Source organism: Homo sapiens, chromosome 7 (genome assembly GCF_000001405.40).
Source record: "Homo sapiens chromosome 7, GRCh38.p14 Primary Assembly".
NCBI classification, from domain to species: Eukaryota; Metazoa; Chordata; class Mammalia; order Primates; family Hominidae; genus Homo; species Homo sapiens.
Window position 1 is genome coordinate 94,275,406 of NC_000007.14, and position 12,821 is coordinate 94,288,226.

The 12,821-nt window shown below is 39.6% G+C and overlaps 1 long non-coding RNA gene across 1 annotated transcript in view; it reads right to left on the reverse strand.

Annotated features, from left to right (window-relative positions):
- Window positions 1–1,121: 1,121 nt before the first annotated feature.
- Window positions 1,122–12,821, reverse strand: part of LOC112267858 (uncharacterized) — an 84,173-nt gene continuing 72,473 nt past the window's right edge. The window contains exons 3-4 of the long non-coding RNA XR_001745273.2: window positions 3,924–3,985; window positions 1,122–3,581 (exon numbers count right to left, since the gene is read on the reverse strand). This is a non-coding gene — a long non-coding RNA (uncharacterized LOC112267858). The remainder of the gene's footprint in view (window positions 3,582–3,923; window positions 3,986–12,821) is intronic.

The following is a 12,821-nucleotide window of genomic DNA, read 5'->3' on the forward strand; positions in this document are numbered from 1 at the left end:
AAATCTCAATGTCTTAGAGGTACCTTCTATGAAGAACATAAATTCAGGAATCAGATGCCTAAATTTTTGATATTCCTAAATAGTTATGCGTGTGCATGTGTATGTGTGTGTGTGTGTGTTTGACCATGCATTGGCATGCCACACTTATACCACTACAGCAGACCACACATAGATTTGACTTGTATGTCCAATAAAACACAAATTAAAACTTGAGAGAAACTTGTGAGATGTCTGCAGCACTTTAGGCTGGTTGGGACTATGAAGAAGAAATGTGTCAATTTTCTAAGCCTGTAAAGCAGTATATTCGGTGAACCCTAAAATGAAAAATATTTCACCCTTATGAAATGTCTTGTGAAGAACTAGGTTTACTAAAATTATGTTCTTCCACTTCACCACGTCCCTTTGAAGCAAAGGAGCCCAGTTGTCTCTTCTCACCAGGATGCTTGCTGCTTATTTATGTTATGTTTGTATCAAGTTTTAGAACTTTGCCTAGATCACAAGCTGCTAGAGCAACTTTCCTTTTTTTAATTTCCTTATTTCCCAACTAAATACTTAATTGTAAATATATATAAATGGAGATAATCTCTCACTGGAGCGTTTGTGAAAATTAGAGTCCTCAATGATTTCAGATGTGACTGGGACCAGCTGCTGACAGGAACTCAGATAACAATGCATTTCAAACAGCTAATCTAGTGAGGCTTTCTAAAAATATTAATAATAAAATCCAAGTGATTTAATTTCTCTACATAAGTACAACGCAAGCTCACTGACTCCATGCGTCACAGAGCTCTGGTTGCTAGGAAATCCATGAATAGAACTTAATATGCATTCAGCAACAGGCTGCAGGCACAATTTATCTCCATGGATGCTCCCTCAATTGCCTTTGAAATGACATTAAGATAACTTTGACGCATTCAAGACAAGCCAGTGAACACAAAGGAAACAGGCCATTTTTGGACAACCATCTGGACTTCCGGCAGAGCCCTTTGAAGTTCACAGTCCTTGAGCTGTGCATATCTTCTGAAGACAGGGATTATGGAGCAATGGCCATATTATGAAGGGCAGATGAAAGACAAAATGTGATGCAAAAGTGTGAGCTTTGGAGGCAGATGCATCTAAGATCAAATTCCAAGTCAGCAATTTATTTGTGTGGATACATCAATCTTTCTGAACTTCAGTTTCCTCTTCTATAAAGTAAGAATAATATTACACACCTCACAGAATGACTATAAGCATTAAACATCGTGTATCAAAAGCCCTGACACAAAACCTGCACAATTAGTGATATAACAATAATAGGAGTAACTGAAGTAAAAGTAGTAGGATTCATAGAATCCTAGCAGCAGAAGAGTAGTTTTTGCTACCAGTACTATTACCACTAGAATATCTATTATTCATACTACTGGAAATAACTATATAAGAGAGGAATCCTTTAGCTGTAAAGCCTTGCACCTATTATCATAACCTAAAAATAAACTAAAAGAGATGTACTTCTGGTGCAAGTTTATAAAGAGCCCTCACAGCAGTCAGTTTCACTAAATGTCACTGAATGTAGCCTTATCATCAGTATTGCCTTGGGGAACAAAGGATGTGGATAACGGTGCCACCAACTGGTAGGACAGTTTGTTGGTGATGAAACTTTTTTTTGTTTGGCTTATACTGTGAAGCCTGAGTTCCCTAATCCACATTAGGAAGAATTTCTAGTTTTTATACCTGAGTCATCTGCATGACAGAAATAACAAAGACTTAAGATATATCCACTCCTTTCCTCTGCACTGGTAGGCATCTCTCTCTTCTTTCATTGACAGGTTCAGAAAACATGTTAGAGGACTTCACTATTAATCTATCTTAAGGGACTGTACAAGGTCTAGTCAGGGTCACCTTCCATACAATGGGTAACTTCCACACAGCCAGCCAATGGGATGACAGCTTAAACAATCCTCATGATTCTGAAGTGCTAACTTCTCCAAAGTGTTGCCAGTGCAACTTGAAACTCACACATACATTTATTCGTACATTCTTGGGAAAGTTCTAGTCCTATCTTCATTTTGGTCCTGAGCCAATGTAAGCCTTCCCAAACCCTAGATAAAGACTGACTTGATTTTAAATCATGGAAATAAACACTTAGTTTTCTCAAAGGACCACAGCAGATGATGCTGCAACGGAATTGCCTTATACGCACGATTCTAAGAATTTTCTCCAATCCTTCTGTTTCTCTACCTGGAAATTCCTTCTTATAGCTGCACTTGGCAGAGCAAAACATTAAAAATGTCTTAGGTGTGCAGTGCTCCACATAAAAGAAACATTCCTTAAGGACAGCTAGATTGTGAAGCTCACAGGGATGACTCTAGGAAAACTTGTGAGGCTTCTGAAGTTTGCTCCTTTCTTTCTTTCTGCACTGCTCTACTCATATTCAATGCCATGCCTGTACCTCAACTCCATGTATATTCTGGGACACACAGCATCCATCCACTCAAGTGTCTCCACTGGTCATGCCCTTCTTGGCAGTGCCCTGGCAAAGATTCTGGCCCCATCCTCTGTCCTGTGCCATTTTTGGACCAGGCTGCATAACTTTTAATAAGATCGTTTATACTGAGGTATTAAAGAATGATTGTTATTTCATTGATTCGAAAATAGTTATTAATTGTATGGAAGCAGAAGTTGCAGGGGAAGGAGCATTGGATCAAATTAAAGAAAGCCACAATTCTAACCCCCTCTTCTTGCAACCTTGGGGAGGGGAGGTGGGGCAAGGACCACAAACTTTCTTCCACATTGAAAGCCAAGGAATTCCACGCAGCTAAAATGTAAGGAAGGAAGGAAAGTAGAATGCATGTTAAATGTATACAACACAGTTGGGGTTTCATTCTGAGATCATAGAGGGTCCCCTGAAAGTTTGGTTGAGAAAAGTTACATCATCAGAGTTGTGATATAAGAAAGGTATCCAGGAGTAGAGTAAAAAATCAGTTGTATTTGGGAGAATGAAAATAGAAAGACAAGTTAACTCTGCCTCTTTCCTCTCCATCTGGCTCAAGGCAAACATTGAAGGATAACATCCAGTATCTATGGAAGATGGGAGAACTGAGTGCAATGTAGCCATCTGACTCCAGGCCATCAGGGCACTTGGCAGCTACTGCTGCTGCTACCTCTACTGATCCACACACATTTTTGCCTCGGAAGGTATTTCCTGAGTTATAAGTACATCAAAAATATTTGTGAGTAAGTGTAAGAAAAGATAGGCAGCATGGGGATGCCATCTCCAAAAGAGAAGCCATGGTTTTACTTTTTTTTTTTTTTTTTTTTACTATTTACTAGTTTTTACTGTCAGTGACATCATTGGATTTAACAAATGAAAAAGACAAAATGGAAAGCAATAGACCCCTAAGCAAAGTACAGAAGAGGTAACTGAGTCACAGAGCCATTAACATCCTTGTCCAAAGTCACACGCTGATAATAGTGGAGCCCTGGTCCCCTGGCATCCCTTTCAGGGCCATTTTCAGGCCTCCATCAGGAGCTTCCTGCCATCAAGTTGTGCTCTTCTGGTGAGAAAGTTTCCAAGACCTCTCTAGGGCAGAAATTCCCATCTAGAGAAAGAAAGAAGGAACTAGGGAGTATCAAGAGGCAATCCATCAGTATCTCAGTTGCAGCAAGGATTTTTCTGATAATCATAAAATTCCCACCATTCCTGGTTATCCTACGCTAACATCATTTAATAGTTAGTTCAATATTGAGAACCACTCATCTTTCTCCTATATCTGTCAAAATTGTCCTTGGATGGTCGGCTGTTGTTGGAAATGGCAGAGGTCACACAGGCCAGCTGAGTTCATGCTCAGCCCATGAAACAGGAGTGTGTTTTCCAAACTCACAATCAGGCTGGCTTCTAATCTCACCACTGAAAATGAGGATTTTTGAAAAATACCACTTACTTCTTGAGTAAGGTTGATAAGTCAGGGAGTTTCACTTGCTTGTTGTTTTTATTTTCCATCGTCTGCAAAGAGAAGAGCACGAAGCATATCAAAGAAGTATGAAGGGTATCAAAGAAGATTTGACTTACTCAAACAGCATTTACCAGTTCAAGGGTGGCAACTTCTGCTTCAGTACATTTAGAAGTATTCACATGCTATATTGATCCAGGAAATAAAAAATCATAAGTGACACCTAGACAGCTGGTTTTTAAAAAGTAGTTTGGCTTGAAAAATTTCAATTTGAACAGGAAATTGTAGAGCAGTGGAGTGAAATGGCACTGAGAGAGGACTGGGTTTGGTCCCAGCTCTGGCCTCCGCTCACTGGGTGGCCGTCTGGTGGGCATGCAGTTCTGCCAAGCTTCAATTCCTCATCTGAGAAATGAGAAAATTCAACCCGCCTTCACAACCTTCAGAGATAGTTGATGTATGCCACAGACAAGAAAACTGACTCTCAGAAAGTTCCAAGAACTCCAAGTTCACAAAACTAGCAAGAGGAAGAGCCAAAATTCAAACCCAGGTGTGCTCACTCCGAGGAGGATACCTTACCAACTGCACTCGCGATCTTCAACCTCTACTCTCCGATGACCTGGAGGGTTTGGGCATGGGATTGAGGGGCTAGAATAGGTGGTAAATGCGCAGGGATCCAGAACCCTCCACGTTGACATTAGCAAGAGCAGCTCCATAACTATCATTTGTATGTATTGAGTTTCCATACACAATTTTGTTCAAGAAATTATTCCCTCAGCTAGAAAATACTTTGAAAACTCTCTTGTACCATGCTGTCTTCCAATTCATGCCTTTAGTTTCTAGAGCAGTACAATCCCAACAGAATTTTCAGTGATGATGTATGTGCCCCATATCTGTGCTGTCCAGTACAGTGGCCAGTAGCTATTTGTGGCTACTGAACACTTAAAATGGTGATGATGTCTAAGCAAATAAGTTTTAAATTTTAATTAATTTAAATTAAAATAGCCACATGTGGCTGCTGGCTACCATACCAGACAGTGCAGTAATCTACAGCAATAGTTGAGGAAGGGAGGATCAAAGGTCAACCAAAATTAACCCACGATAATGACAAAACTTTCATTTTAAAGTTAAACACCATTTGGTGCGACTAATTAGAAGCTGAAGGGCTTTTACTTCAAACATGAAATAAGCAAACAGTGTGGCTTTTGTTACTGTTTTGGTTTTGTTGTTGTTTTTTCCCAGAGCAGATGAAAAGACTTTCCTGTTGGTATATACGCAGATGAGAAAGTTAGAGTTGAGGATACAGGTGATCTCTGTGCATCAGTTTGCCTACACTAAAACAGGACCTCTGTTTGTCTTTTTAGTTATTTTATATTCGTTTTGCCATTTATAAACAGGTCATTTTTTAATGTAGTAACATTTGTTCTTTCAATGAGGTAATTGAAAGACAGGTCTCAATGTGCTGGCTCTTGCTTTAAAAAAGAAAAAAATCCGCCTCTTGTTTTGGACTGTGTTCCTCTCCCACCTCCCCTGGTGAAAATTCAGGCACCCTAGGTTTTATTCGTTGCTGGAAAACTGACCCCACTCCAAAGGGACAAGAGCCTGAGTCCAGAGGCAGGCCAGGAAGTAGTCCCCACTTCAAATCACAGTTCACAGAAGTGAGAAAGTATTCAAGTCAAATGTCTGTCCTTCATGGATTATTATTACAGCTGTGTTCTTTCCCAGTAGCTGAATAAACACAAAAGCAAATTTTATTTTTTTTACTTGATTCCAGAGAAACCAGTGCATTTATAGTTCAATTCTCTCTCCATAGGTGCACCCCTCCCCGCCCCCTCTATATCTCAGTGAATCAGACCACCTGACAGCAAAGGCAGGAAAAATCATTTCTCACATTGTCATCCAATGAATGACTGAACAATGCATCGTTTAAACAAAATCAGAGTCTTGCAGTTTCAAAATGCCAGTACCGTTTCTCCAAGCAGTTCCACGCTGGGTCTGTATTAATTCATTCAGACACACTAGGGGTAGACATTAAAATGAAAATAGTCTGAACCAGATTAGTCTCTCTATTGGAATAAAAAGGGGTCAATGGATCAAACTTGGAAGATATAATGTAGCATCCAGACAGAAGTAAGCCTTGTTAAGGTAGGATTTTTTAAGGAAACTGCTTACTTAGTTTTACCCTCCAGAATCCTTACTGTGATCATTTTCTGGGACCTGTTAAACTTAGGGCATCTATATTCTTTCTCTCATGCACCAATATTTATAGTTAATGTAGGATTCCTCCCATATGGCAGGCATCCTGACAGATCCTCAGGGGAACAACAGTGAACAAGGCAAGTCCCTGATCACACAAGCCAAGATCTAATAAACAATTAAATATGAGATCCTTTGAGATTTTGTGAATATGAAGAAAATTAATATTAAGAAAGTTAATATTAAGAGATATGAAGGAAGCAGGGTAATGTTGAGAAGGGTGCAACTACTTTTGTATTAGGTGGCCTGGGAAGATCTTTCTGAGTCAAGGGTGCCAATATTAGGACCTATAGCAGGAGCAGAAGCAGAAACAAGCCATGTGGTTTGCTGATGAGGAGGGTCTGAAAAGCATCAGGAAGAAAAAGGAGGAATCAGAGGAAATTGCCATGGTGAAGGAAATGCAACGGAGGAAGAGAGGGTGACCCCAGTCCAAGATGAGCTTGGGAGGTGGCAGGAACTGGTTTCTCCATGACTCTAAGGGACATGGGAAGGAAAGAGATACTCTCCCAAGTGCCCTAAAAGAAGCTGTAAAGGTTTTTATAAGCAAGAGGCAGTAACAACCTCAGGACTTCCTGAAAATGACAAGAGGGCTTTTTGAGATAACAGAGTCAGAACTCTGTAAGAGATCAAGTCCTCGCCATGAGGCAGGGGATATTCGGCCAGCATGGCTAAGAAGAGACATCTGGCTGGTTCGTACTGTGCCTCTGTGAGTCCCACATTACACGTTGCTGCTGCCACCCCCTCCCCGCTGTCCCTTCCAGCCACACCATCAGCCACTAGCCATGCCAGCCTCCTACAGAGGGTCATCTGTGCACCTGCCGGTTGGACAGTGCCTAAGTTCCTAGCCTTCATTAAGTCTCTTGCTTTCCTGGAATGAGCTTCTTCCTTGACCCACATGCTCCTCATTTCCTTGCTTTCTTCATGTCTCTGTGCAAATTTCACATCATCAGAGTGGATTTCTCAATCCAAAATAGCACTGCTTCTCCTTTTCTCTCTCATTCCCCCTTACTCTGCTTTACACAGCTTGTTTTTCTTCATAACAATAATCAGTACACGAGCTATTTATGTATCTCTCTATTTACTTATTGTCTGTAATAGAATACAGGTTGAGAATCTCTAATAAAAAAAAAATTTGAAATCCAAAATGCTCCAAAATCCAAAACATTTTGAGCACTAACATGATACCACAGTGGAAAATTCCACACTTGGTCTTATGTGATAAGTTGAAATCAAAATGCAATCCAAACCTTGTTTCATGCACAAATTTATTTTGAAATATTACATAAGATTACTTCCAGGCTCTGTATATAAGGTGCATAAGAAACATAGATGAATTTCGTGTTTAGACTTGGGTCCCATTTCTAAGGCATTTCATTAGGTATATGCAAATATTTTAAAATTCTAAAGAATTTGAAATCCCAAACACTCCTGGTCCCAAGCATTTCAGATAAGGGATACTCAACCTATATAAGCTTGTGGAGGGCAGACCCTGTGCCATTGTTGTGCATCCTCCACATCTGTCTTAGTGCCTTGCACATAGTAGGTGACTGATAAATATGTGCTAAATGAAAAGGAGCAGTCATCCCTTGTTCTTCTATACCTAAGAGCCCAGAATCTGCTGCAAGTGAAGCTTCTCAACAATCAGCATCTTCTACAGTGGAAGGCGGAGGAGAAGCCCTTTCTGGAAGGAAATTCATCTCCTACTTAGACAGTAAACTTAAAATAGGCTCTTCCTGTGCACACCCCACAGATGCTCCTTATAATTCCTCAACTTTCCCCACCAAGCAGTACCTCAGGAGCCTTACTGGCCAAGTGATTTTTGCCAGTATCTTCCATATATCAACCTAAAAAGACGTTTTTCTTGAAGAGAGGAAAAAATTGATATATAGCTTAGCAAGAAGTGGAAATTTTTACTATAGTTGGGTTAAAAGCAAAAAAAAAAAAAAAAAGGAAGCATACCAGCTAACCTCTGTCTATTATACTATGATTTTTCTCAAAGGCAGACACCAAATAGTTCACAAGGGCACCCATAGCGCCAGGCCACTTAGTAGGCTCTAAACATGTCTGTTGAATAACAAACACGGCAGTTGAAGGGATATAATTTATACCCATAAAAAATTAATTAGAGAGAAAGCCCAGTGTAATAGAAGTTTAAAGCCAGAGAGTTTCCACTTTATCAAAGCAAGCCCTTCAAACACAAGTTACACTCAAAGAAATAAGAGTTTGCCAATGCATAAGGCCTGCCTCCTCCAGGAAGCCTTTCCTAACTGCTTCAGTCTAAACTAGATTTCTACTGCTTTCAGAATTGCTGCCACACCTTATATTAGCACTTTTCCAATGCTTTAAAACAAGGACGGCTTCTCTCCAAAACTGTATCACATTTGAGAGTTAGGGCTGTATCAAATACTTCTTCTGCCAGCCCAGCTCCTGAAACCATGCTGGGAAGGCAAATGGTAGAGAGAATATTTTCTAGGCATGCTCTGGTTAATTAACAAACAACCTTTTTCCATTTTCATTTCTCTACTCCATAAGCAACTTAACTATGTTTTTCTATTCTTATTTGCATATTTACTTACAATGTCATCATGTTTCACATGTATATGTTCATTTTGCTTACACAAAATGAAGCTATTTTTCTGCAATCACAAGAATACTGTTAACACCCAGAGCCTAGAATTTCCCATCTGTTAGCAAATCTCACAACAAAGAGCCTTTTTGGAAGCGTAGTTAATCCTTTAAAGAGATGTATTTCACAACTCAACTCTTATCTGATGTCAACAGAAACATATTTTTGCAAAATGTGGCTCAGATGCAAGCGTGCTAAATTACTAGTTTAAAATACAGAAAGATGGAAAGGGTTGTGGGTAAATTTTACAAGGGAGAGTAGTCTAATTATCCAAAGCCTTTGAAACAGCCTTGAACCGCTGACCGTCCCCCATGCCCAGATTTGAAAGAGAAGAGCTTCCAATTAATTAATGCAGTCAACATTTTTCAAGACCCTTCTCTGGGGAAAAGCCTCTGCTGGAAGTTCAGTGAAGGGAGTTCCAGTGGGAAAGATAGAATTGAAAAGAAATAGAAGAATACAAGGAAGATGAATTATCTCTCTTCCTAGATCATTATTTCACTCTTTCTGTTCTCTCCCCAAACCTCTAAGCCTTTTCCCTGTCTCTCACTCTCAGCTGGACTGGCTTTTTACTTCACTCTGGAAAAAAGAAAAAAAAAGCGAGAATTTCCACAACCACTACCACCATTTTTACTACCAAATCTACCAAGATATTAGCATGTGGGCCCACCTACTCTGCATTCCCCACAATTAAAATGGATCAGTGGTCAGTGCTCCTAAGGACAACCCTTTTCTTACCTATTGAAGGACACTGCTGCTGCAGTTGTCCTTTGTCTCATACATGTCATGACATTTTCCATTTCTACTGGGTCAGTCCATCACCATGCAAATGAATTTGGGATCTCCCATTCCTCCAGCCACTAACTGCCTGACTTCTCTACCTCCTTGACACTACAACACTAGAAATAATTATCTATACTTGCTGTCTCTGCTTCCTCTCTTTTCTTTCTCTCCTCTACTCACTCCTGTTGAACTTTTGACCCCACAAATCGACCATTGGTAGAGTCTCCAGTGACCAGCTCATTACCAATCCAAAGATAAATTCTTAGTCTTCATCTTCTTCAGATCATCAGCAACATTGACACAGTTGGGCACAACCTTCCTTCCTGAAACACCTTCTTCATTTATCACTGTCTTTTGGGTCTCCTCCCATCTCACTGATTGCTCTCCTGATCCCCTGTGCTGGCTCTTCTTTGTCTTTCCAGCATTCAAGTGACCCCCTAGTTTAGTCCTCGGATCTCTACTCTTCTCATTCTCCCAGGAGATCTCATTCATCTAATGACTTTAAGGAGCCTTCTAGACATATATTTGACAATTCCCAAATACATACCTTTTCCCCTGTATGTTAGACTCATTCATTCATCTACCCACATTGTGCCTCTATGTGTATATCCAATAGTGTTTCACAATCAGGTCAAAAACTGCATTCTTTAAAAAAAATTACTTACTTAAGTGAAAATTATATACATATATTCATTGTGTACAACTGCTTGTTTTGAAATATGTATACATTGTAGAATGGCTCAATCAAACTAATTAATATATGCATTACATCATATACATATCATTTTTGTGGTGAATACATTTAAAATCTTCTTTCTTGTCATTTTTTAAAAATACGATACATTAGTAGTAACTGTAGTCACCATATTGTACAATAGATCTTTTGAACGTATTCCAAAAACTGAATTCTTGTTTTTACCCCCACCCCTGTTTCCCCTTATGGCCTTTCTCAAGTAAATGGCAAATCTATCACTGTAGTTTCTCAGGCCAAAATAAAAGAAGATGAGCTCCTTGTGGACAGGGTCGTTGCCTGTGTCATTCATCCTCCACGTCTATCATAGTGCCTGGCACATAGCTGATGATGGAAATATGTGCTAGATGAAGGACTGCAGTAAAGTTATCAGTTAAAAATACAGAAAAGAGCCACTAATCCTACTTTTAAGGTGAATGAGACTAGCAATTGGGAAATACTTCATGAAAAAAAAAAGTTTAAATTTGATCTTGAAGGACTAGCAAGCATTTGACAGGAAAATAAGGGGGAAGACATTCCTGGCAGAGGAAACAGCTTGGAAAAACATAAAATGATGTGGAAATGCATGCTACATTCAGAGAACCGTGTTACTGAGTCATAGCATAAAAGATGCAGCATACTAGGAGATGTTCTAGGAGAGTAGCTTACTGGGTCTATTTGGACTTTATTATATAGGCAAAAGAAAGCTGTAAAGATTTTTAAGCAAGGGAATAACACCACATAGCACAGTGTTGAAGACAGAATATATTATTAAATAATGTTCTGTTGGAGGAGAAAAAAATCAAGAGCAGTATAGGTGAAAAACTGGAGATTGGGAAAGGAGAGTATGGAAGTATGAAATCTCCAACAGTAGTTGTAGCAAGAGATGGAAAAGCCTGCGCTAAATTGGGTTACTAAGAATGACCAGTAGAAGGCAGCTATAGGAGAGACTGCGGAAACAGAACTGCAGACGGTAAGTTAAGGGTGAAGAAGAGGCCGGGCACAGTAGCTCACGCCTGTAATCCCGGCACTTTGGGAGGCCGAGGTGGGTGGATCACGAGGTCAGGAGTTCAAGATCAGCCTGGCCAACATGGTGAAACCCCGTCTCTACTAAAAACTACAAAAATTAGCCGGGCGTGGTGGCATGCGCCTGTGGTTCCGGCTACTCGGGAAGCTGAGGCAGAAGAATCGCTGGAACCCGGGAGGTGGAGGTTGCAGTGAGCCGCGATGGTGTCACTGCACTCCAGCCTGGGCGACAGGGCAAGATTCCGTCTCAAAAAAAAAAAAAGTGAAGAATAGAGGCGCAAAAGCTGCTAACCTCCAGATTTCTTCCCTGACACCCCAAACTCTTTTACAACAGAAGTGTATCCCAAACTCTTGGCACTCTCAAATGCTGAGAGCCAGGTAAGGAAGAAAACAGCTACAGGCAAGGACAAGCCCCCGACATGTGGGTGGAAGCCTCTTTCCAAGGTTTGCGTTCATTTCCTCTGCTCAGTGATCCTAAATAAAATAGCCATTTTCCCACCATCCTGGCATAACTTAGGTGAGATTCCACTGTAGTGAACTAGAACTGGAGGTGAGAGAAAATTGCACTATTATTAAACTTTGCCTATCATCAGCCTTGCTTCCAAGAAAGAAAAGAAAATTTCTTTCTCTTTCTCCCTCCTTCTCTGTATGGCTTGATGCTGACCTAGATGCCCAATCCAATTCTTGCTTGTCCTATTAGTTTTATATTAATCTGTATTATACTTTAAATAGATTTTGAAGCAGAAGCTTACTTGGAAGACTCAACATTATTCATAAAACTATTAGTATTGAGAAGAATGTGTTGAGTTTCAAACTCTAAGTTTATCAGTAAATTTTGGTACTTACACCATTAGTACAGGGAACGGGATTTCTTATTCTGTGCTTCGTGATTCATATTTCCACTTCTTTGTCAATTATTCATTATTATGCAGCTTATAAGAAGGCATGAAGTTAACAATAACGATTATATTAATGATAGAGTGAGTTATTAAAATTTAGTTTAATAGCCACTATATTTGTGATGATAATTATAGTTATGACTAACTATGATTATAGCAGCCATTGTAATCATAATAAGCTCAGGATGGTTTAATGCTAATTGCTTCATCATAAAGAAATTAGAATATAGAACTGTAAGTGGATGTGGTTGTGATTATAAGGCAAAAGAATGTATGCAGATATTAGTTACTAGTTATTAACCTTCTCCATGAAACCAGACCAAAGAAAAAATTTTGATAAACCCAGACTTGGTTCAGATCTGCGTCAGGCCCCCTGAGAAAAAATGGGTATCATTCTTAAAACAACATGCCTTAAATTGAAACCAATTTGAAATTTAGAAAATGTGCTGATATGATACTGGGAACTTCTTTAATACCAAATGAGCTAGAGATAAAAAGTAATAGCATGGACACAGTCCTTGAAGCACACTAATGAAAGAAACTGCCAACCCATCAAGTTCATATGAAAATACCTA